The sequence below is a fragment of the Homo sapiens genome, chromosome 11 (genome assembly GCF_000001405.40).
Source record: "Homo sapiens chromosome 11, GRCh38.p14 Primary Assembly".
NCBI lineage: Eukaryota > Metazoa > Chordata > Mammalia > Primates > Hominidae > Homo > Homo sapiens.
Window position 1 is genome coordinate 76,605,823 of NC_000011.10, and position 25,149 is coordinate 76,630,971.

The window sequence follows — 25,149 nt, forward strand, 5'->3', positions numbered from 1 at the left end:
CATGCGGCCCCTCTCAAGCGCTGGTGGGCCACTGTGCATGCAGACAGCCCACCTCAAGGAAAAATCGAGGGAGGGGAGATGCAAAACCCCAGAAGCATGCCAAGGTATAAAACCTCGGGGTCAAAGGTCAAAGGTCAAGCCAGGCACTTGGACCTCTTGAGCCCTCTGCCAAGTGTACTTTACTTCCTTTTGTTCCGACTCTAAAACTTTTTAATAAACTTTCACTCCTGCTCTAAAACTTGCTTCTGCCTCTCCCTCTGCCTTATGCCCTCTCGGTTGAGAATTCTTTCTTCTGAGGAGGCAAGAGCTGATAGTACTGCAGACCCATATGGATCCGCTGCTGTTAACACAAGCACGCTCTAGTTGTCAGTTTCCTGTCCCCATCTTGCTCAGCTTCGTCCAGCCAGCGTCTCTCTCTTGGCATGGAGGCCTTTGTGCATTTGCCCCCAGGACCCTGCCCACTCCGGCGGCCAGCCCCTTCTCACTCTTCTGCTGCAAACTTCTCATTATCTATCTCTTTAGCGTGGCCATGCCCCAGGGCTCAGTCCTTCACTGCTTCTTTCCATCCGCCCCCTCCCTTGGCTGTCTCAGGCAGGCCCGTGGCCCTCAGCGTCGTGGGGATACAGAAGCCGCCCACATCGCAATATCCAGCCTGGCCTCTCCTTGGACTCCTCCCCATGGCCAGCCCGTTCTCTCCTTGCTTTTCACACTTTAAGCCAGAACTCGTGATCTGCTTCCCAAGCCTTTTCCTCCCCCGTCTTTTCAAGTTCCCATTACGCAGGCTGAGGACCAGGCAGTCACTCTGGAATCTTCCCTGTCTCTCACCCGCCACGTCCAAAATATCAGCAAATCCTGTGGGCTCAGGCTTCAGAAATATACCCAGAAGCCACTCTAAGCCGCCACGAGCGCCTCTGGCTGGTCCTCGCCTGCCACCTTCCCTCTCCAGACCTCTCCTCTTAGCAGCCTGCAGGACCCCTTTCAAAAGCAAAACGTGGTGTTTACATGTCTGCATTTGTTGAAACCAAAGAACTGTACACTAGGAAGGGTGTGTTTTACTGAATGTAAATTATATGTTAATTTTCAAAATGGAACAAAAAAAGTGAAACAGCTTGTGTCACCCCTCCTCAAAACCTGCGTAATGACTCCATCTAAATCTTTTTTTTTTTTTTTTGAGACAGCGTCTCACTCTGTTGCCCAGGCTGGAGTGCAGTGGCACGATCTTGGCTCACTGCAACCTCAGCCTCCCAGGTTCAAGCGATTCTCCTGCCTCAGCCTCCTGAGCAGCTGGGACTACAGGCACGCATCACCATGCCTGGCTAATTTTTGTATTTTTAGTAGAGACGGGGTTTCCCCATGTTGGCCAGGCTGCTCTCAAACTCCTGATCGCAAGTGATCTGCCCGCCTCAGCCTCCCAAAGTGCTGGGATTACAGGTGTGAGCCAGGCCCCATCTCACTCTTTGTAACAGTCTATAAGGCTCTATATCAGTGTTTCTCAAACTGTGGACCATGACCATTTAGTAGCCCAGGAAATCAATTTGAAGATCATTACTCATGTTATTTTTTAATGAAACAGAATAAAATAAAATAAAATATATCAGAGTGCACACATATAGTTTATCTCAGTTGTATGTTTATATGTGGATATCTGTCTTGGATTGCCATATAAAACTGATTTCTTATGGAAGATGTAATCAATAAAAATTAAAAGCCGCTGCTCAGCATGGTCTGCCCCCCAGGCCCATCACCCCCTTCCTTTCTCTCTCACCCTCACTCTGCCACAGCCCTACCAGCTCCACACTGTTCCTACACCCCTTGGGGCACACTCCTGCCTCAGGGCCTTTGCACTGGCTGATCTCTCTGCCTGGAACATTCTTCCCCCCATATCCCTCTCTCATTTCCTTCAGGACTTGGCTCAAAGGAAAGAGAAACTTCCAAATGGGCCTGTTTAAAACAGCGCCCCCATTCCCAAGGTTCTCATAGTTCCCTTGTATCACTTTATTTTCTTCACAGCACTATGACTACTTGGAGTATTGTACATTTGTTTATTTGTCCCTTTCTCTCCATGAGAATGTCAGCTCCATGTGGGCAGGGACTGTGTCATTTTGTGTCCGGAATTGGTGGGTTCTTGGTCTCATTGACTTCAAGAATGAAGCTGCGGACCCTCGCGGTGAGTGTTACAGCTCTTAAGGTGGCGCATCTGGAGTCTATCCCTTCTGATGTTCAGATGTGTTCGGAGTTTCTTCCTTCGGGTGGGTTCGTGGTCTCGCTGGCTCAGGAGTGAAGCTGCAGACCTTCGCAGTGAGTGTTACAGCTCTTAAGGCAGCGGGTCTGGAGTTGTTCGTTCCTCCCGGTGGGTTCACGGTCTCGCTGGGCTCAGGAGTGAAGCTGCAGATCTTCGCAGTGAGCGTTACAGCTCCTAAAAGCAGAGTGGACCCAAAGAGTGAGCAGTAGCAAGATTTATTGCAAAGAGCGAAAGAACAAAGCTTCCACATTGCGGAAGGGGACCCGAGCGGGTTGCCAATGCTGGCTTGGGCAGCCTGCTTTTATTGTCTTATCTGGCCCCACCCACATCCTGCTGATTGGTAGAGCCCGAGTGGCCTGTTTTCTCAGCGCGCTGATTGGTGCGTTTACAATCCCTGAGCTAGATACAAAGGTTCTCCATGTCCCCATCAGATTAGTTAGATACAGAGTTTCGACACACAGGTTCTCCAAGGCCCCACCAGAGCAGCTAGATACAGAGTGTCGATTGGTGCATTCAGAAACCTTGAGCTAAACACAGGGTGCTGATTGGTGTGTTCACAAACCTTGAGCTAGATGCAGAGTGCCGATTGGTGTATTTACAATCCTTGAGCTAGACATAAAGGTTCTCCAAGGCCCCACCAGAGCAGCTAGATACAGAGTGTCGACTGGTGCACTCACAAACCTTGAGCTAAACACAGGGTGCTGACTGGTGTATTTACAATCCCTGAGCTAGATAGAAAGACTCTCCACATCCTCACCAGAGCAGCTAGATACAGAGTGTCGATTGGTGCACTCACAAACCCTGAGCTAAACACAGGGTGCTGATTGGTGTATTTACAATCCCTGAGCTAGATATAAAGACTCTCCACGTCCCCACCAGACTCAGGAGCCCAGCTGGCTTCACCTAGTGGATCCTGCACCAGGGCTGCAGGTGGAGCTGCCTGCCAGTCACGTGCTGTGTGCTCGCATTCCTCAGCCCTTGGGTGGTCGATGGGACTGGGCGCCGTGGAGCAGGGAGTGATGCTCGTTGGGGAGGCTCGGGCTGCACAGGAGCCCATGGAGTGGGTGGGAGGCTCAGGCATGGCAGGCTGCAGGTCCCGAGCCCTGCCCCGCAGGAAGGCAACTAAGGCTCGGTGAGAAATCGAGTGCAGCACCGGTGGGCTGGCACTGCTGGGGGACCCAGTACACCCTCCGCAGCCACTGGCCCGGGTGCTAAGTCCCTCATTGCCCGGGGCCAGCAGGGCTGGCCGGCTACTCCGAGTGCCGGGCCTGCCAAGCCCACGCCCACCCGGAACTCCAGCTGGCCCGCAAGCGCCGCACGCAGCCCTGGTTCCCGCTCGCACCTCTCCCTCCACACCTCCCTGCAAGCTGAGGGAGTGGGCTCCAGCCTTGGCCAGCCCATAAAGGGGCTCCCACAGTGCAGCGGCGGGCCAAAGGGCTCCTCAAGTGCCGCCAAAGTGGGAGCCCAGGCAGAGGAGGCGCCGAGAGCGAGCGAGGGCTGTGAGGACTGCCAGCACGCTGTCACCTCTCAATTTGTGCTCTTTGTTGTATCCCAGTGCCTAGAATACTGCTAGAATAAATACCATTCTTGGTTTAATGAAACATACAGTCTGGTTAAGATGGCCTCCTGCAGTTCTCTTTAAATGGTAAAACTCCTAGAAGATCTACGGAAAGGAGAGAGGGCCCACTGGGGAATCCGTCGGGGTTCATTGGCCTGGTGAGCTTTGAACATCCTCTGGATTCATCAGGAACTGGCTTTTCCGTGTTCTGGAATGCCTCTGCTGAGATTTCCTATTGTCCTGCTGGGATCCTGGTGGTCTCTGCAGAACCCCTGGGCCTGGGCCCTGCTGAAGTAAACAACACGGAAATGCTGTGGTTGGGATGTTTTGTTCCAGTTGCCAAGACTTGTGGGCTGAGAGCTCCCGCTGAGACAAAACAGAGGAACCTGAACCAGATGGATGGCAGCTTCCCCACTTGCAGGAGAGGGAGGCCTCCTTGCACGGGAGGCTGCCCTGCTGGTTTGGAAGCCAGCCTTGCCACAGTGCCCCATCCCGTTGGCAGCAGTCAGGAACCCCACTCAGGAGCCTACACCTGCCTCAGAGGCAACTGACTTTTTGGGGAAGGATAGGGCAGGGAGAGGGGACCACACCATCAATAGCTCCAGGTTCAGGGCGAGTTCCCTTTACCAAAATGCTCTTATTCCCCCCAAATGGTGAATCAGAGGCTCAGACCCCTGGGAGAGCCCACTGAGATCATGAAATAGAATCCCATTTCATGGCCAGGAAAACTGAGGGCCAGATAGGGAAGTGACATCCTCAGAATCACACAGCAAGCTGAGGCTAGGGCCTCATCTGCCAACCATCGACCTGGGGGCTTTTTGAACCAAGTAAAGTTACAGGATGGACAAGCTTGAACCAGGGACAGAAAGCACTGAAGCATGGCCACTTACGCATGGGCCCACAGCACCAGAGGCCTTCACGGCCAAGGCGGCCTTTGACTCTTCATAGATGGGCTGGATTTCAACAGATGAAGAAGGCATTCCTGGGTGGGTGGGTTGAGGGGAGAATGGGTTATGTCATTTCAGATGTGGAGAGTTTGTTTGGGGCATGATGTGGAGCAGTGTGGCTATTGTTCAGGTTGAGTGTGTAGGGTGGGGGAGAAGTGGGAGATGAGGCTCAGGCCTTATTTTGACAGTCAGTGGTTACCCTGATGCACATTGGAATAATGTGGGACCAGTGACTTAATGCTTGGAGGGGATCAGGGAACACAGGAGTGTACCTGGAAGGTTTCCATCCAGACCATCCCCTGCCCTTCTCCCTCCGCTCGCCTTGCCCCTCACCCGGGCAGCGCTGTCCCTGAACACAGGTGGCTGCCTCTCCTTGCCAAGTGCTGATGCTATTTTAGGATGCAGAACCTGCCAGCTGAGTAGGGCTCCACCTCCTGCAGGGATGCTGGTGGGTGGGGGAGGGGGTGGCTGGGAAGCAGGAGCAGGGCCTGGGAAAACAGGCCATCAAAGCTGCTGGGCAATTCCCTCCGGCCATGGAGAGGAGAGGGCTGCAGGGTCACAACAGATGGCTAAATATAGAGACACTCGGAGGTGGAAGTGGTTCCTGCCACCCGCAGGGGGCCGTCCAGTTCCTTCTCATGGGGCAGGGAACCAGTGTGTTTGTGAGACTGAGCCCCAAGTGCTGGCCCAGCCTGAGGCTGGATCAGGCACTTGGAGGACCTCAGTCTGGATTTGGTGTCAGATATTTATCTACAGCTGGGGTCATGGCTTGTGTTACCCACTGTATTATTCCATTCATTATCTATTAGGCTCTGACTCTGGGCTAGGACTTGTGATTGGAGCTCTGGCTCAGAGGTCCCTGCTCTTAGGAACAGATGCTTTCCTGGGAAGATAAACTTGTAAATGGCCAACCGTCTGTGGGTAAATGCGATAAGGACTCACCTAGAGCATCAACATCCAGCCACTAGAATGCAAGCTCCCTGAAGGAGGGATTTTTGTATGATTGCTTCACTGCTATATACCCAGCAACCCCTAGATCAGTGCCTGGCACATAATAGGCCCTCAATAATATCTGTTAACTAGCAGAATGAATGGCTCCACCCAGAGAATCTGAGCAGGCTTTATGAAGGGGTGGCCTGGGGCTGGCTCTTGAAGAAAGTATAGAATCTTGAGCTAATCCATCGGGATGAGCCTATCAGACAAACATAGCTGCATTGCAAAGACACGAGAATGTGTGATGTATTCAGGAACATTAGACTTAGTTTTACGTAAGCGCCAAGGTGGAAGGAAGACTGGAACAGATCCCAAGGGGCTGTGAATGTGGCCAAAAACCCTATTATATACCCTAGAGGTGTCCAAAATGGGGTGCAAAGTGATCCATTCATATAGAAAAAACATTCTAGAACTTTTTTTTGTGTGACAGGATCTTGTTCTGTTGTGCAGGCTGAAGTGCAGTGGCACCATCTTGGCTCACTGCAGCCTCAACCTCCCAGGTTCAAGCAATCCTCCTGCCTCAGCTCCTCAAGTAGCTGGAATTACAGGAATGTGCCACCATGCCCAGCTAGTTTTTTTTTTTTTTTTTTAGTAGAAGCAGGGTTTTGCCATGTTGCCCAAGCTGGTCTTGAACTCCTGAGCTCAAGCAATCTGCACATCTCAACCTCCCAAAATGCCATGATTACAGGTGTGAGTCACAGCCTGGCCGAAAATTCTAGAACTTCTATTTATATTTTACCTTCTAAAAAAAGGAAGAAAAATTCAAGCTCTACTAATATTTATTAAGTAGGCTGACATTGGTGCCCTCACCTTGTTCACACCATAGTAGGTCATATGTCCAGCATGGGTTTGGCTGACCATGACGTTGCCATCCCACTGCAACACCTTCAGTGAGCCTGCCACAGGATGTCATCGAGGCACTTCATTTTATAAAAACAGTCATTAAATCATAGCATCTTATCAAAGCGTCTTAACAGAATAAGTGGCTGCAAAAACCTTTTGTACCATACAGAAACTTGCTGGTTATCTCACAGCAAAATACTTAAAAGAGTTATACCTTGAAGATGAGCTTTGCCTTTTTTTCCTTCCTTCCTTCCTTCCTTCCTCTCTCTCTTTCTTTCCTCTTTCCTTTTCTTTATTTTTTTATTTTATTTTTTTTCATTTTTGAGACGGTCTCGCTTTATCACCTAGGCTAGAGTGCAGTGGTGCCATCCCAGCTCACTGCAACCTCTGCCTCTCGGGTTCAAGCAATTCTTCTGCCTCGGCGTCCTGAGTAGCTGGGATTCTGGCTAATTTTTATATTTTTAGTAGAGATAGGGTTTTGCCATTTTGGCCAGGCTGGTCTCGAACTCCTGACCTCAAGTGATCCACCTGCCTCAGCCTCTCAAAGTGCTGGGATTACAGGTGTGAGCCACGGCACCTGGCAGAAATTTGCCTTTTTCTTCTACGAAAAGACAAATGATCCAAATGTGCTGGCTCCTTCTGTGACAATTAGGGGATGCTATCCAGCAGATGCTAAAATGAATGAATACATAGCAGAGGTAAAGGTGACATTTTAAGATTGAATAAGAAAGTAACTGCTTTGGAAACAAAGTCACCCTATAGGGAGAACACTTTGCTGAATAAAATCTTGAGATGATTTTGTTGCTGAAGTTCAGTGTGTTTTGAACTCATTTGTCAAAAATATTAAAAAGTAACACCTTCGGGAGGCGGAGTTTGCAGTGAGCCGAGATTGTGCCACTGCGCTCCAGCCTGGGCAACAAAGTGAGACTCCATCTCAAAAAAAAAAAAAAAAAAAAGTAACACCTTCAACAGGTTGGCATCAGTTAAGCCAAATTCCAACCAAAAGCCTGTGCACAGAATTGAAAATTGCACCTTGTGATTAGTAAGTGCAGTCAAGAATGCACATCCTCCACGTGGCACTTCAGCTCTTTGTGAGATATATTTTTTCAACTATAATAACCATTAAGCCAAGTGAAAAGATACATGGAATTTAGTACCAGATTCTCAAGTGAGTGTACCACTTTATTAATGCAAGATTTTATTTAAAAATGAAGCATACTTAATGGCAATTTTTAGTAATAATGTATTTAGTCAGAGCAAAAGGCTTTTTAATACCATTAAATAAAGTGAAAATAAAACTTTTAAAATTATATTATTTATTTAATCTTTCTCTCATTCTTTTTCCAGTGTCTATTATTGGCGTATGTTTTCAAATTTATCCAAGCATTTCTGTGGCAGCATATGTATATAATTTATAAATAAGCATATGCATATATTGGATTGATGGTATGCATTTTTTTTTTTTACTGATAGGAGGATGAGATTCAGCCACAGCTGAGTGTGATGGGCAAGCTAGGGAGGAGCTCAGGAGGTGAGGGCCAGGATCCACTTGAGGCCATCTCCGAAACTGGAGGCCAGGAGTCTAGAGGTTTCACAGGGACCCTCTTGGAGACTCCTATTGGGGCCAGGGGTCTACGGTCTAGAGGAGAGGCTGGGCATCAATCTGGACACAGCCCAGGAGGCAGCCAGAGCTGGGCCCAAGGTCGAAGATGAGGAAGAGTGGAGGAGGGGGTTCCAGAGGCTTTTGGGAGAAGGCAGAAGTAAGTGCAGGCTGTGGTGATGGATGGGATGAGAGGGTGAGGAGAGCATGGGAGGCACCCTTGCTGCTGCCCGAGACCCTGTAGCATGTGTGAGGGTGATGGAAGTGTCCTCACTGAGATGGGGCATGATGTGGAGGGGAAGGAGCAGTTTTCCAGGGGCAGTTCAGTTTTAGGTATGGTCTGGATCCATGCAGGGTCCCTGCTGGAGAAATCAAGAGACCAGGGGCTCAGGGAGAGAGAGAAGCCAAGGATTCAACTTCCTCTCTATTCTCCCCACAGTGTTACATGTCCCCAAAGGCACAGACAGGGCCTTCTCCTGCCCTATTCTCCTCTTACAGCCCCGCTGAGCCAGGGAGAGCTCACCATAAGTGCTCAATGCCAGCAGCCAGCTTGGGGTGGGCAAGGGCCCAGGTCCCAGGCCACAGAGCCTGAAGGTCGCCCTGGTAACAGGCCCTGTTATGATGCTTCAGGGAGCCAGGGGGCTGTTAGTCAGAGCCATGCAGGAAGGGGCCGTTATATCCCCTCCTGCCCTGGAGTCCTGGCGGGCCAAATCTGGACACGCCTGGGAGTGGTCCAAGGACTGGTCATTGTCTGGCCTGGCCCTGGCTGCCAGTCAAAGGGGACAGCTTGGTCCCACAGAGGCTCCCAGTGGGGATCTGGGTCCAAAAATCAGTCTACTGTCCATTAACAAACCATGATAGGGATGACAGGCAAATCAGACCTGATCCTCGGTAGGGGAAGAGGGGATCCTGTCTGTCACGTGAGATGGGTTATCAGAGGTGGCACCAGCACAGCTCGGGCTCAGCCTTCCAGACACGCCTCAGCCCTTGACGCAGTCCCCTTGGGAGCTCCCTGCACTGATGCCAGTGAGATGGCCAGGGTTCCCATATTTCAGGACTCCTTGTGGGGATCGCTTCAGAGCCACAGGGGAAAGGCAGCCCCTTCTGACCCGGCTGGAATATTCCAGCATACCTTGAGATAGACAGTCCCTTTTTTTCCTGGGCCTCAGTGTCCTTGCGGTATGTCAGCAGACTGCTCAGGGCACCTGCCCCTGCAAGCCCCCACTGTGTCCACACCGAGCCGCGCCCATGCCACATGGCCTCACTGTCACATCTTTGCATGTGCTGCCCTGTCTGCAGGGGATGTCCTCTCCCTTGGGCTTGCCCGTATCATCCTGTCCATCCTTCCCATGGCCTTGCTCTAACGTCACTTCCGGGCTGGTGAGTTTGATCCTTCTGTTGCGGGACCTGTGACTAAGGCAGCGGGAGGCCCGGGGCCCAGCCCTCCATGAGCAGGCCTCCTTCACCCCTCCCTAAGAGTGGGAGAACCCACTGGATCACTGTCTCCAGGCAGGGGTCCCTTCCCTGCTGTGCCCATCCCCCCAACACACACACACACACACACACACACACACACACACACACACACACACAGATGTCCTCTGGGCATCCCCAGGGGAAGATGCAGAGTCTCAGGACTGGCATGCCCCCTACTCGCTGCACAGACTCAGCGGAGCCACGTCCCCTCCTGGAGTCTCCATTTCCCATTGGTAGAAGGAGGGCAGTAAGTGACCAACAGGGGCACACACCACGGCAGAGCTAGTACCCGTGCTCTGATTACGTTTAAGGAATTGTTACTTTTATTGTAAATGTGGGCATCTCTTGTTGGCTCTTTTAGGCTGTTTGATTAATAATTGTGGGTCACACCCCACTCCCCTTGACTCTCCTGTGGGTTGGAGGGGCTGAAGCAGGGTGGGGATGGGAGGCCAGTCCCCCCAGGAACCTGCCCCTCAGCATGAATGTCAGGAAGCTCAGCAGCAACAGCAGGGCAGACCTGAATCACTCAGCCCTTTCCAGCCCCAGGGAGCTCTGATAATAGACCCGGGAGCCCTTCCAAGAAGCAGCCTAGGGTACAGGCACAGGCAAACAGGCCCCATTTGGAATCCTGCCACTGCACGCCCCTGCCTTCTTCCTGGTCCTCCCTCCAAGAATCTTATTGTTCACAATCACAACTGTCTCTGCCCGCCCTGTGGTTCCCTCTGCCACATGCTTGTTCAAGTTGTTCCTGGACTGCCTTCTCCAGCCTTCTGGGCCCAGCCACTGCCTCCAGGAAGTGCTCCTGGGTTCCTCCACCTGGAAAGGACCTTTTCCTCAGCACCGTGTGGGTGTCACTTTAAAGGTCCCAAATAAGGGCTCCAACTCAGGGTGCACTGCGGACCAGGGGCTGGGCCCTTCACCAGCACCATCACATTTCCGTCTATTTACAGACGAGGCAACTGAGGCTCACATAGGCTACATAACTTGCCCTTGATAATTTGCAAAGCCAGGATTCAAGACAAGGTGACACAGAAGCCCGTGCAGTTTCTGCAAACCCCAAGTACACTCCCACATCCATACCCTACCTGAGTGAAGACAATGAGGTTAATGTCCTGAAGGAAAGCTGAGCTTTAAAAAAAATCAAAACAAACCCGAAGTTGCCAGTGACTCTCCTAAGTTCTTTTCTCCAAACTGCTAATGTTAGACACCTCTTTTTCCAGGAGAAGTATATTTCCTAAAACAAGGCGCTGTCAGTGAACTCAAAGACCCCGGAGGAAGACAGAAGTCAACTATCTCCTCTTTCATGACCCTGGGTCTGCTTCCTCATGGGGGACCCTTTTGGCAGCTCCTGTTGGGCCGAGCTGACAACATTCCCAGTGCTAGGGACAGTAATAATCACTGTCCCATTCACGTGATAACTCCAAGATGGACAGAAAGCTAAGGTCTTTGCCTCAGTTCATCCTTACAACAATCCAGTGATGTGGGTACTGTTGTCCTATGTCACTGGGCTGGGGGGTAGGGGGAAACTGAGGCTCAGAGAGGCTGGTCAGTGACCTGATAGACCTGCCTAAGGTTCATGTTCTTAACCTTCCAACCGGGGACCTCCCCTCCCTTCCTTTCCCAGGGCAGTCCCTCCCGCTATGGCCAGGGGTCCTCTGCCTGGGGGAAGCATTAAGGCTCTTGCCAGGGACCTGCATAGTGGGTGGGCCTCCCTCAGGGTTTTCCCTTTTCCAGGGGCCACAGAACTTGGCTGACCTCAGCACCTCGTGGGCTGGCCCTGCCCCTGTGCTCACATGAACTGTGGCACCCTACTAGCGTATTGGCAGCTAGGAAGGACAGAGCCTGGACTTGGAGTCAAGAGCCTGGGGTTTGAATCTGTGCTCTGCCACTCGTTTGCCATGACCTTGGATGAGTTGCTCACCTCTGTAAGCCTCTGAGGGAGTGTCTACCAGGTGAAATGAGGGCACTGGGGGGACAGGAGCGGGAGCACAGTGGGCCTTGCTGGATGTGAGCTGGGTCTGAGAGGGGTGGAGGGGTGGGTGAGAGGAAGCTTGGCCCAGGAGATGGGGCCATTCCAGGTCTAGATCTGGAAGCCGAGGATGAGGGGCATGAAAGCAAGGATGTGCTGTGCTCATCCATGCAGGGAACTTTAGGGAGCACCCCCCTTCCTGTGGGTAGAAAAAGAAAGAGCTTTCCCCTTTGGAATTCGCCCCTCTGTCTCCCCCCACACCACAAGACACAGACCTCCAGCATTTGGGCTGAATTAAGAGCGTCAGACATCAGCTGCTTCTGAATCACGGGCTGCTCCAAGCCAGGAGAGCATGTAGGGCATATCCTGAAGGGAGGTTTTCACACTGTGTCCAACAGGCTCTGGAGGACTTTGGGGGTGCCCCAGATGAGGGGCCTCTGGGCCCCACCCTACCTTCTCTCACACATGTCCCTTTATTATCTTTACAAACTGGGTTCCTTTTATTTCAAGTAAAGAGTGGGGTCTGCATCCAAATAGAGAAACAGAGAAAAACCACCCCTGGATCCAAGGCTCTCATTTTACAGAGTTCAGGAGAAGTCACACAGCCAGACAGTGGGAGGGTGGGATTAGAATCCTGTCTGCCCGGCTCACACATGCATGCATGCCTTTATTCACTAACTAATTCAAAAATAGGTATCAAATGCCCTCCCTGTGCCACGCATGATGCTGACCAGGAGGATTTTGTGGAAGCCAAAATAGACAGCGTCCCTATTCTCACAGTTCACAGTCTAAGAAGATGACACTGATTAATAACAGCTCACACATTGGCACTTATTACCATATGCCATGTCCTTTACATATATGGACTCTTGTGATTACCCTATGAGATTAGTAAGTCCTCAGTTTGCAGAGGAGGAAATTGAGGTACTGATAGGTGAAACAATATGCCTAGGGCCAGGCTGCTAGAAAGCAGCAGAGCTGGGATTTGAACCTTGACTATCTGGCTCCAGAGTATGTGTTCATTTCTACTCCATTATATAGATCAGTGTGATTTAGAACCTATGGTGTTATCTATGTGTTTTACATATATACAGGGGAACCTGGGTAAGCTGAGGTCAGGGTAGGGAGAAGTGCCAGCAAAGGCTTCCCTGAGGAAGTGATGTTGTTTTAAAATGGAAGGACAACATTTACAGGCAATTGATTTTCAACAATGGTGTCAAGACCATTCAGTAGTGTTTGCAATAAAAGATGCTGGGACAATTGGATATCCACATGAAAAAAAATGAGTCTGATCCTCTACCTCACACCATATACCAACATTAACTGAAAATATATTGAAGGCCTAAATGTAAGAACTAAAAATAGAAACTCCTAGAAACTTAGAAGAAACTAAGACTCTATACAACTCTTAAAACTAAAAGACACTAAAACTCTATAAAACTCTAAAAACTTAGAAGAAAACATGGTTGTAAATCTTTGTGACTTTGGATTAGGCACTGGTTTCTAGGATATAATACCAAAAGCACAAACAACAACAGAGAAAAAAATGCATCATATATCATCAAAATTAAAAACTTTCATGCTTCAAAGAATACCACCAAGAAAGTAAAAACAAAACTCACAGAATGAGAAAAAACTTTGCAAATCATGTGTCCAGAAAGAGACTTGTATCTAGAATATATAAAGAACATTTACAACTCAATAATAAAAAGACAAATAAACCAATTAAAAATGGGCAAAGGCTCTGGATAGAGCCTCTAAAGAATAAGTACAAATGGCCAATAAGCACATGAAAAGCTGCTCACCATCACTAGCCATCAGAGAAATGCTGTAATGAAATACCACTTCATTGAGGAGCCCCTCTGCCTGGCCACCACCCCATCTGGGAGGTGTACCGAACAGCTCATTGAGAACGGGCCATGATGACAATGGCGGTTTTGTGGAATAGAAAGGGGGGAAAGGTGGGGAAAAGATTGAGAAATCGGATGGTTGCCGTGTCTGTGTAGAAAGAGGTAGACATGGGAGACTTCATTTTGTTCTGTACTAAGAAAAATTCTTCTGCCTTGGGATCCTGTTGATCTGTGACCTTACCCCCAACCCTGTGCTCTCTGAAACATGTGCTGTATCCACTCAGGGTTGAATGGATTAAGGGCGGTGCAAGATGTGCTTTGTTAAACAGATGCTTGAAGGCAGCATGCTCCTTAAGAGTCATCACCACTCCCTAATCTCAAGTACCCAGGGACACAAACACGGCGGAAGGCCGCAGGGTCCTCTGTCTAGGAAAACCAGAGACCCTTGTTCACTTGTTTATCTGCTGACCTTCCCTCCACTATTGTCCTGTGACCCTGCCAAATCCCCCTCTGCGAGAAACACCCAAGAATGATCAATTAAAAAAAAAAAAAGAAAGAAAAATCTACTTCTGGAGAAACAAATTACCTTCCCATCTCTTTTGTCAGGAAACTCTGGATGATGTACTGAACAAAACAGGGAATAACCTAACAGAGAGGAAGACAGGGATTTTAGGAAACCGGAGATCACACAGGAAGGAGGTAAAGGGAAATCCCAGGATGATGGCAAAGGGAAGTCCCCAAACAACAGCTGCGCAACAAGAATAAAGAACAATCAGAGGACCTCTTGAGCCCAGAGGTCAAGGCTGCGGTGAGCCAAGGTCGTGCCACTACACTGAAGCCTGGGCAACAGAGTGAGACCCTGTCTCAAAACAGAAAAGGACCTATCAGCCCCAAGTGGAGCAGAACAGAGGGATTTGGGAGGAATGTCCTCAGAAAAAGATATTAAAACACAGTTATCTGATGAGTTTGAAGATGTAAAAAGTTCTACTGAAAGCCATTGTACATAGCAATAGGAAGACATGCCATAGATTAAAAAAATAATAACCTAAGCAAATCAAAATTAGGTAACAAAAGTCCAGGAAAAACAAAAGCTTATAGATGGGAAATGTAGACAGTATACATCACTTAACTTAGAAATGAGCCATCATCGAAAATAATAAAAACACTGATTATGAATTTAAAAAAAAAAAAAAGAAATACCACTTCATGCGCACTATGATGGCTGTCATTAAAAAGATGGACAATAAAAAGTGTTGATGAGGATATGAAGAAACTGGAACCCCAGCAGGGGCATGGGCATGTAAAACAGTGCAACTTCTGTGGAAAACCATCTGGCAATTCCTCAAAAGGTTAAACATATTTACCCTATGACAAAGCAATTCCACTCCTAGGAATATACCCAAGAGAAATAAAACATATGCCACACAAAAACTTGGAAGTGAGCATGCATAGCAGCATTATTCATCAGAGCTAAAAAGTGGAAACAACCCAAATGACCATCAACTGATGAGCAGACCAATAAAATGTGGTATCATTCATGCAATGGAATATAATTTGGCAACAAAAAGTGATAAGTACATGCTATACGTGACACATGCTACAACATGGGTGAACCTTGAAAACATGATGCTGAGTGAAAGAAGTCAATCAAAAAGACCACATTTTGTATGATCCCATTTATATAAAATGTCCAGAATAGGCAAATCTATAGAGGCAGAAATTAGATTAATGATTGTCTAATTGGGCACTTGGGGGAGTGACTGCTAATGAGTATGGGATTTTAGGGGTGGAGACGTGATAGAAATGTTCTAAAATTGATTGTGGTGATGGTTACTCAGCTCTGTGAGTATACTAAATCACTGAACTATACACTTTTAATAAATTAATTGTATGATATAGGAATTATATATCAACAAGGCTGTTATTTTTAAAATATGGAAGGATGAAGAGGCACTAACTATGAACATGGAAGGGGCTGGGGTTTGGGGAGTGCCTTCTAAACTAAGGGAACTGCATGTACAAAGGCCCTGTGGCTGGGAATTTGGGGTGGTTAAGAAAGCAAAAGACACCAGGTGACAGGAGCTCACAGGGAAAAAAAAAAAAAAAAGAGAGAGAGAGACAGAGAGGAGAGAAGAGGCTGGAGAGCCAGCCAGACTAGGCCATCCAGGGCCTTGAGGACCAAGGCAGGGCCTCAGGTGCACACCAAGGCCGGTGAGCAGGGTGAGGTTCTTACCATGGTGCAGGTGGTGGCACGCGGCTCCTCATGCCCAGCCTGTCCCGCCCTTCCCCTCTTTCTGACCTCACCCATCTGTCTGGGGAAGCCCTGGCGTAGGATGTGAGTTCTGGAGGAACTGCAGGGATCTCTTATCAGAAGTCTTCATGGAGGACGGGCTTTGTGGCAGAGCTGAGGTTGAAGTGCCACCTCTGCCACTCGCTGAGTGACTTTGGTAAGCTCTGTCCTGTCTCCTAGAGCCCTGGTTTCTGCATCTGCACAGTGACCTGTTCCACCTTCCAACAGGGCCGTGCTAAGGAAGATCCATGCCATGGTGTGCAGTGCTTTGTAAAGAAAGTCTAAAAGGTCATCATCTGTCTGCGCCAGCTGGCTTCTTTCTGAATTCCAGGGTCTGCTGATGGGCTGGGCTGTTGCACCCCCACTCTGGGGCCGATGGGGTTTACTGCGGAGCTGGCTGTAATCCTGAGGTTGGAAAAATGTCTCCCAGGCCTGTGAGCCACTCCTCCCCAACTCCAGGACGCTGGGCAGGGGGCAGGGGGAGGGAATGGGAGAGCCGGGAGCAGACAGGCCGTGTCCTTATCCTAGGATGTGACTAATTAGATGGTGAGGCAGGGTGAGTGTGGACTCCTTGGACAACAGCAAAGTCTGGGGACTTCGCAGCTGGAATCTGTTCACTTGTGCTTTGAACAAACATGGAGGCCTTCTTTGCAACCTTAGGAATCATTCCAGCCTAATCCATGCTCCAGATTGGAAGAGGCGCTGAGGCCCAGAGGTGGGGAGGCCTTGTGTAAGGCCACACGGTCAGTAAGGGGCAGAGGAAAACAAAGAAGCCAGAAGTCAGAAAGGGGAGAGGTTGGCGATCCTTTGGTCCAACCTCCACACGCACACACAGAACAGAAGCCCACAGAGCTCAGATCTCCACAATGATAGGGACAGGCCAGCCTGCAGGCACAGGCTTTCTACTGTCCTCAACCCCTGAGGCCTCTTCTTCAGACCCCTGAGAAGAGGATGCCTTGGGCATCTTCCCAAAGTCCCATTCCTGGTCCTAGTCATCCCTCCTGACCCTCCCCTGCAACGGCCCCTCCCACTGTCCCTCCATCCTTGCCTGACCTAAAGTCTGGATCCCCACAGTGAGGGCTGAGCCGTGGCCTTCACTGGCCCTGAGCCCAGGATCCAACCACCATATGACAATGCTTCGTGTGCCCCCAACAGGACCCATTGCCTGGTTCTACTCCTGACCCTCTGGTATCTGTCAGTGAAGGACCCCATCCCCCACTCTGTGCCCAAGCCAGCTAGACACCTGGGGGTCACCTGCCTCTCCCGCCTTCCCCTGACACCCACCTGCTTCCCAAGGCCTCCCTTCATCTTTGAGATAACCCCTCCCTGCCCACTGCCCTTGCCCGAGTTCAGGCCTCCTTTCTCTCCTGCATCCCCAGCAGCCTCTCTATTCCAACCTCTTCACAGGAGTCAGAGACACCTTTGGAAAATATGGCTCTGCTTGTACCCCTCCTCTCCTCAATACCCTTCCATGGCTTCCCAGCACCCTCAGGGAAAAGCCCAAGCTCCTCAACCTGGAGTTCAAGGCCTTTCTTAATGTTCTGCTGGCTCCTGTTGACCCTGTGAGCGGCCATGCTGCAGGTGTTCCCATTGTGTGCTGTTTCCAACAGGCCAGACTTGGTCCTCATCTGCAAGCCTTTGTCTCCCAGCTCCCTCTGCCCCAGGCTCTTTTCTCCTCCTCTTTCTGGGCTGCGTGGTAAGCACCCACTCACTCTTCAAGGATCTATTCCCCACAGATTTCCCCACAGGTGGCACTGACTTCCCTACATAGAGCCCTGTGCAGACTTAACTGAGCCCCTGTGACACTGGATGTACCGCCCCTCCCCATTCTGGGAGTGCCTCAGGCCCCGGCCAGGTTTTACTGGGCTCAGGTAAAAAGCACAGAAGGAAGGAAGGGAGTGGAAAGGAAGGCACTTATTGTAGGTCCCTGCTCAAGCACCTCCTCTCCTAGAAAACCCCTAGACAGATGGCATCTCCTGTCACTGCCACCCAGACACTTATGGCAGAGTCGCCGGCTAACTCACACCAGAGTTACTCGTGTTGACATGGCCTCTGGAATGGCGGAACTGCAGTCCCATTTAGGCCACACTGATTCACAGATGGTGAAGTGAGGCCCAGAGACAAGCAGGCAGGGCTGGGTGTTACTCAGCAGGCTGGAGCCGAGCCAGGATTTCAATTCTTACCCGTCTGACTCCAAACCCCATGCTCTTTCCCATGAACCCGCTGTCTGCCTCTGTCCCCAGGCAGCGGAAGGCCCTGCTCTCGATACCTGATGTGGGCACTTCTGGACCCTGAGAGCCCATCGTGGGGGCAGCAGAGCCCGGAGCCTCACCTGGGCCCATAGGAGCCGCAAGCTCCTAGGCCCAGGCACAACACATCCAGTGGCTCCACGGGTGTGGTGGGTAAGGGGCATTCAGAGGCCATGCAAAGTCCTTGTGAGGTTCTGGGGTGGGGGCAGCAGGGACTGAGCCTTTGCAGGGCACTCACTCTGCACCCAATCCTTCCCAGGCCTTGTCTCTGTAAAGCTCACTCCAGCTCAGCCAGGCAGAGGTCACTCTATGATTCGACCCCCCACTCCCATTTCCTCCCTGACCCCAGCCCTTATCACACTGTCCACAGAGCCAGGCCTCTTGGGCTTGATTCTCAGCCCTGCCACTCACTTGCTTTGGGAACAAAGTGCCTTAAGCTCCCTGTGCCTCAATTTCCTCCTCCATGACAATGTTGGGAGACAATAGGGTTGTTTTGGGAATTAAATGAGTCAATACTGTGTAAATCACTCAGAACAATGGCGGGTGGTAAGTGCTCTAAGGCAAGCCTCATCATCATCATCATCATTGTCGTCGTCATTTTACCTGTTTGTCTTGCCCACTGGACAGTGGACTCCAGAGGGCTGTGTTTTCTGGACTCTGCTTCTCCCCAGTGCCCAGCCCTGAGCCTAGCTAGCAGGGGGACTTACTGCATGTTTGTGTGAGGACAAACTTTCGACGAGTGAAGTGAACAGACTTGCTCTAGGTCACCCAGATCCACCACCGCGGACCATGTTTCCCTCGTTCTCCGGGCAGGGTGGGCACTGTGCTGCACACATACATGGGGCATATTGGCCAAGATGGCATTCACAGAAAGGGCTCCTTGCGGCCCCTCGAAATCTGAGTGTGACTTAAAGGAAAAATATGCCCCAGGTGTTAGAGAAGGGGGCGCCGGGGCTGGCCTTCCCATCTCATGCATTTGCAGGGCTGCAGAAAGCGGGTGGGGAGGAAGGTGGGGTCTGGCTAGGGGAAGGCCCACCCCACTGCGTCTGCTTTGTGTCTTCCTAGGGCGGGTGTGTTGCATCCAGGGCTGTGTGGAGGGAGAGTTTACATTCCCAAGTACCTTAGACAAGGGTGACTGATAAGAATGTCTCTGGTCTGGGAGCTTCTGCAGTGACTTTATCTCTCTAGATAGGGCCAGGCTGGCCTGGGCTAAGGAGAGAAGGGGAGGGGACCTTGTGGTATCTGGGAAGCCTCAGAGCTCAGGCTTAGCTGCGGCTGTGCCCACCTGGCTCTGAGGTCCCTGGCCCAGCTCCTGCTGCTGTGCCTTCCACGCCCCCACCTTATTCACCCTTGACCAGCTCCTGCCTGGGCCTGCCCAGCCACACTCTGCAGCCTCCCATGTCTTGGTCAGTCTGTGAGCCACCTGAGGACAGGTCCTCCTCAGGAACCTGCACAGAGCTAGGCACCTTGTTTTTAGCATCCAGCCTAAACTTATTTCCTCCCAGGCTCCCTGAAAACCTGCTCCTCCTCTCTCCCTCCCAGTCAGAGACTGGGGTGACGTCTTTGACCCCTTCCTTTTTCCCAAGCCTCATGTCCCTGCGTCCACTTAATGAGCACTCATTATGTTCCAGGCACTTTATTAAATCTCTCCAAGACTCCTCAGGGGCACTATTATAATTCCCATTTGACACAGAGGGATTTGTCATATAGGGTTGGTGACTTGCCCTAGGGCACCCATCTGAAAGCAACAGAGCTGGGCTTTGAGCTTAGTTTGGAAGGCACAGTTGTGGGTGGGAGGACTGACTCCAGGTTCTGTCTGTGGGGTGGGGATGAAGCATGGGTTGGGGAGCTTGCCTGTACCTGGGGAGAGCTGCAGAGGAAGAGGGGGGCTATTCCTGTTACCTGGTGCTGTGTACCAAGCCACCCTGAAAATTGGTGGCTTGAGACAATGACATTTAGTTTGTTCTCAAGTCTGCATTTGGGCAGGGCTCAGAGAGGATGGTTCATCTCTGCTCCTCTGGACATTACCTGGGATGCACTGAAGTCTGGAAACTGAAATCATTTGAAGAGTTGGTTTATTTATATGTCTGGCAGCTGAAGCTTGGGCTGTTGGCCAGAACAACTATAGTGGCCTCTGCATGTAGCTTGGGCTTCCTCACAATATGGTGTCTGAGTCCCAAGGGCAAGCATGCTGACAGAAAGAGACAGAAAGATAGACAGACAGATGGGTGGCGGCTGTACCACCTTTTAGGTTTAGCCTAGTAAGTTTTCATGTCAATTCTATCACATTCTTTTCATGGAGGCCATCTCAAAGGCATGCCCAGTTTCAAGGGGAAGAGCAATGGACTCCATCTCCTGATGGGGAATGACAAGTTTCCAGGGTATAGAATTAGGAACACTCCTGAGATCATTTTTGGGAAATTTCAGTCTACCATAGGGACCTCCTCTTCTGGCCTCTCCTGGGTGGTTCCACTTCCCTGACCTGGCAGGACACTTCTGGGAGCTCGACCAATGCTGCTCCTCTCACCCCAGCTTTGGAAGCATAGATGTCAATGGGGGGAGGAGCAGAGCCAGTGAGTGGCTGTGTACTGAGCACTGGCTGCATCCCAGGCCCCCCCCGGGTGCTTGTGTGCCTTCTTTCATTAGATCCCCACCATACTCCCACATCATGTGCAGTGTGGCTCCTATTTTTTCAGTGAGGAAACTGAGGCTGAGAGAGGTGAGGTGACTTACCAAGACCACCAGGGCTCATCAGGGAGGCTGGGATTTGAAGCCAGGTCTGCGTAGCTCTGAAGGCCTTTTTCTTGCCACTGCACAGCTGTCCACAGGCTCAAGATAGGGAAGACCCCACAGGGAGAGGGATTAAGGATAGTGACCTTAGGATCAGAACAAATTGGGTCCAAACTGAAGCTCCTTAACTTTGAGCAGGTCACTTCATTGCTCTGAGCCTCAGTCTCCTCATGAGTCCAGTGGAGCTATGGCCTCCACATCACAGATGTAAGAAAACATAATGAAATAAAATAATATTTGCTATAAGCTTGGCACAGCCTCTGGCTCATCATGCATGGGACCCAGGCCACCCAGCCCCTTCCTAGACAGGACCTGCTTGCCTGTGGGGAGTGAGCAGGTTGGTGGCTGCCTGAGGACTGGGCCTGCTGCCACTCACCAAGGGGGAGCCCCTGGGTTCCTGTTGGCTATTTTTAGGACTGTGTGGGCAACCACAGAACCACATGTGGGGTTTACCACCGCTTGGCCAAGCCCGGAAGAACAAGAGAATGCTCCTGACGACAGAGGACAGGCATCTGAGGTGGGATGGGCCTCACTTCCTTCCCAGCATCTCCAGGTTGACAAAGGCAGAGAGCCTCTCCAAGCCTCAGTTTCCTCATCTATAAAATGGGGATAATAGTAAAAACAATAGCCCACATTTTTGCAGTCCTCACCATGTGCCAGATGCCAGTCAAGCCCTTCATGGGTGTCATCTCACGTGATCTGTGATTCCCGTGAGGGAGGCTGGAAGAGGCGGAAGTTGCTCAGCTAGAAGAGGGGTCAGAAATGGAACCAGGCCTGGCTCTTTTAACCACTCTGCTCCCAGCCTCTCCAAACAGACTAGAAGAAAGGTCACAAGGATTAGCTAAGAGTACGGATGTGGATGTCTTTTTTAAACTGTAAGAGAATGTCAACCAAACAGGCCCAGGAACAGGGACAATGTAGGCTAGGAGCTTAGGACTATGCTCCGTGGAGACGCCTCCAAAAAAATCAAGCTTTGAAAGCTACTACTGAGAGGTGGACTAAAGACCAGAGGTGGCAGCAAGATTTCCCTGGTCCACAGCAGTTCTCAGAGGAGCCCCAGACTCAGGCCCACCCACTTCCTCATTCACGTGGGTCCCTGACAAGCTTACCTTTTGGGTCCAGGAAACCATGTTCCTGGAAGAGCCACCAGCCATGGTTAGGACTCAGAAGTTCTGTAATTTCCCAACAGGAAAAGACAGAAAAGGGCAACAGGGCATGTGTGTGCCCACACAGACATTTGCCTGCGACCATGTGCACTCACACCACGTGAATCGCACATGCGCACAGGCAAATATACCTATCCACACACTCATAGACCTCCAGCCGCACCTGTTCACACAGGCACACACACACACATACACATCGCACCCATATTCCTGTATTAAGATGCACCTATGGAGTATGTACAGATGTTACACAAACATCCACACACATCCCATACGCTTAAATGGATCAGCATAAATACACAAACATGCATCTATGCACAAAGTATAAACACATGCAAATACACATATTTACATATGTCCAGTCATCATACACTTCCGTGGATAAACAGGTACATGTACTCAATTCACTTATTGTGTAAAGTTGTATACACATTGCAACTCACACAAACACATGCATGCATATACACACACGGGTATACATATGTGCTTAATAATGGTTGGCACAGATCCATAAGCATCCACATGTATATATCACCACCACGCATCATAGCCATCTGCATCAGCACATGCAAACTCGTGTGCACACACCTGCATGCACACACTCTTACCTGCATGCCTGCAGCTCGCCCATGCTGCACACGGTGTGTACACCTTGCCTTTTCTGGCTCCTTTGTTGCTGAGCGATCCTGCAAAGGTGCAGAAACACAAACACCTAGTTCCACTTCACCTGAAAACCCCCAAACCCTGGGTGCGTGGGAGGGTGAACCAGATGCCCTCCCTGTTGGGGGCACAGTGGAAATTATGACCCGAGTTGACTTTTACAACAAGAGCAAAGGTGAGGGGTTTTTCCACCCGGTTACCTCACTGTGTTGGGGCTGACCAGGGCCACCCCTGCTAATCCACCTCCTGTGGGCCCCTCCAATTACCCAGGGTGCTCAGGTTCAACACAGGCTCCACATCTCCTTAGTTTACTCAGCAGTTAATGAGCAAGAGCCTGGACCCACCTGTGTGTCAGGCCCTGGGCTGAGGGTTGGGCTGGGGAGATGCGGTGGATCTGGCCCGGCCCATGCAGCTGGAAGGTGGGAGGAGGCCTGGTTGGTGGGGTCTGTGGGAGGCTCTAGGTCAAATTCCTAAAAATGGATCTGCTTGATGACCAGCTTGCCAACTGATCAGGTTTTCAAATGACCAATTTGCCAAATATACCAAACTTACCAATTTACTATTCATTTTTTCCAAAGTATATAGCAATTGTATTGGATAGATTGACACTGGTTTTCATTTCATCTTCATAGTTCATTTTAAGGAATGTTTAGATGGTCAAAAGCTAAGTGTCAGGGAGTGGTTTCATTTAGTAAAGGCACTTAACATTTGGAATTGGAGAGGGACTTTCTGGGAACATCTACCAGGAATGGGGCATTCTGGGAGCTCTGTAGCAAGACAGGCCTTCAGGGACCACCTGACTCCCCAGAGCCATGTGGCCTGTGCCTGGGTTGTCCTCTGACTGGCTCTGTGTCCTGTGCCAGGCCCCTTCTCCTGTCTGGGTCGCAGTCTCCTGGCTATAAAGAGCTCAGCTTTTGGGCCTTGCTGATGTTTGATGAGACCCTGGAGCTACCTGTGACCTCAGTCTCCGAGTGTGGCCAGGGTCCAGGCCATGGGAGCCAGAGAAGCTGCTGACTCTGCTGAGGGCAGCCCAGCCCTGCTTGGAAGTCAAGGCTGTTGTGTTGGTGCCTGTATCTGAACTGTGACATTTCTGGGTCCTGTCCCCAGCCCCAGGCAGAGGGGCCTTGCTTGCTGTGTGCGGGGAGCATGGGGCTGCAGAGGGTGGGGCCCAACTAACTTTCCTTTCCTGGTAACACGCTTGCTAAGCTCATTTCCTTTTTCTGAAGGGAAATGCCATTGACATCACACCACTGGATTTTCAGTGACGCAAGATGAGAACTCGTGAGCCCTTCGCAGGCAAGAAGGGTGCACGTGTGGGCTGGGCACAGATCTGACCCGGGGCAGATTCGGAGAACCTCTGATCTGAGGCTCCTAGCCCTTGCTTTAGAGATGGGGACCCCTAGGTCAGAGAGGGGTAGAGACATGCCCTGGGTTCCACAGCCAGACAGCAGGGCTGGGGCCAGATCCCAGGCCCCTGTCTCCCAGCCCAGGGCTCTAGATGAAGGGGCCTGACTTGCCCTCTCAACCTATCTTAATAGTGGCACCAACATCCACCAAGTTGCCTAGGCCACAAACGGGTCTCACTGCACTCCTCCCTCCCAGCACCCTCCTCCTGGCAGCAGCACTCATAGCTGTCTCCTGCAGTCCATCACAGGCCACTCCCTGGCTCAGGCCACCTTGTCTTCTCCAGGACCCCAGTCCAGGAAATACCTGGCCACTGCTCAGGCCTCCCTACCTACATCCAGGCTTCTCCCTCCAGTCCATCTTCTGTTCAGCTGCCTGGGTGACTTGGCTAAAACACAGAGCCCACAGTGTCAGTCCCCAGGGCAACCCTTCCAGGGCTCCTTGGCTGGGCATCCCAGACTCTCCGTGGTGCTTGCGCCTCCTTCCAGCAGCTGCCCCTGACACGCCCCTTTGCTCCCTCGGTGCAGAAGCTGCCTGCCCTCTTCAGAGTGTGCATCCTCTCTGCATTTGCTGTTCCTGCGCCGTTTCCTCTTTGGGAACTCCTCCCTCTGCAGGCACGTTCCTGTTTTTGCTCACTCCTGAGGAAAGCTCACACGGCCCGATCTCCCTTCCCCCACCCCAGCCTTGGAGGGAACGTCTAGGTCTTCCTCCCCACCTCCTTGACAGCAGCAAAGACATTTTATTGTGGAAAATTTCAAACACACAACAAAAATAGTACAAAAACTACTGTGTATTCCTCACCCAGCTTCGACCCTCCCCGACTCAGGGCCACTCTTGTTTCATTTCTATCCCCCAACTCCTCCCCACTGGATTACTCAGAGCAAATTTAAACATCAGATAATTTTATCCACAAATACTACAAGGAGTTGGGCGCAGTGGCTCATGCTTATAAATCCCAGCAACTTGGAAGGCTGAGGTGGGCAGATGACTTGAGGCCAGGAGTTCACCACCAGCCTGAGCAACATAGCAAGGCCCTGTCTCAAAATAAATATTGCAGTCTGTATTTCTAAAAGATAAAGGCATGGCCAGAAACTATTATCCTGCCTACATTT

General features: G+C 50.8%; 1 long non-coding RNA gene across 8 annotated transcripts, besides 3 other annotated features; it reads right to left on the minus strand.

Moving 5' to 3' along the window:
- Positions 1-1,534: 1,534 nt before the first annotated feature.
- Positions 1,535-24,600, minus strand: LINC02757 (long intergenic non-protein coding RNA 2757). 8 transcript variants are annotated; one of them, NR_187243.1, is made up of 5 exons: positions 24,373-24,600; positions 22,582-22,659; positions 21,917-21,979; positions 20,751-20,893; positions 1,535-2,416 (listed from the first exon to the last, which is right to left on the minus strand). It is a non-coding gene; the product is annotated as a long intergenic non-protein coding RNA 2757 (long non-coding RNA). The 8 variants fall into 8 exon arrangements; NR_187242.1 differs by having other exon boundaries at positions 20,751-21,403; NR_187244.1 differs by lacking the exon at positions 21,917-21,979 and adding an exon at positions 20,046-20,208 and having other exon boundaries at positions 20,751-21,403; positions 24,369-24,600.
- Positions 2,970-3,668: an enhancer, noted in NCBI's record as "H3K27ac-H3K4me1 hESC enhancer chr11:76319836-76320534 (GRCh37/hg19 assembly coordinates)". NCBI's record gives its function as "activates a minimal SCP1, AML or CMV promoter by ChIP-STARR-seq in primed H9 embryonic stem cells {active_cell/tissue: H9 hESC(primed)}" and the evidence as "EXISTENCE:reporter gene assay evidence [ECO:0000049][PMID:30033119]".
- Positions 23,665-24,024: an enhancer, noted in NCBI's record as "active region_5292". NCBI's record gives its function as "activates an Ori minimal core promoter by ATAC-STARR-seq in GM12878 lymphoblastoid cells {active_cell/tissue: GM12878}" and the evidence as "EXISTENCE:reporter gene assay evidence [ECO:0000049][PMID:35858748]".
- Positions 24,483-24,777: an enhancer, noted in NCBI's record as "tiled region #5087; K562 Activating DNase matched - State 8:EnhW". NCBI's record gives its function as "activates a minimal TATA promoter and a strong SV40 promoter by Sharpr-MPRA in K562 cells {active_cell/tissue: K562}" and the evidence as "EXISTENCE:reporter gene assay evidence [ECO:0000049][PMID:27701403]".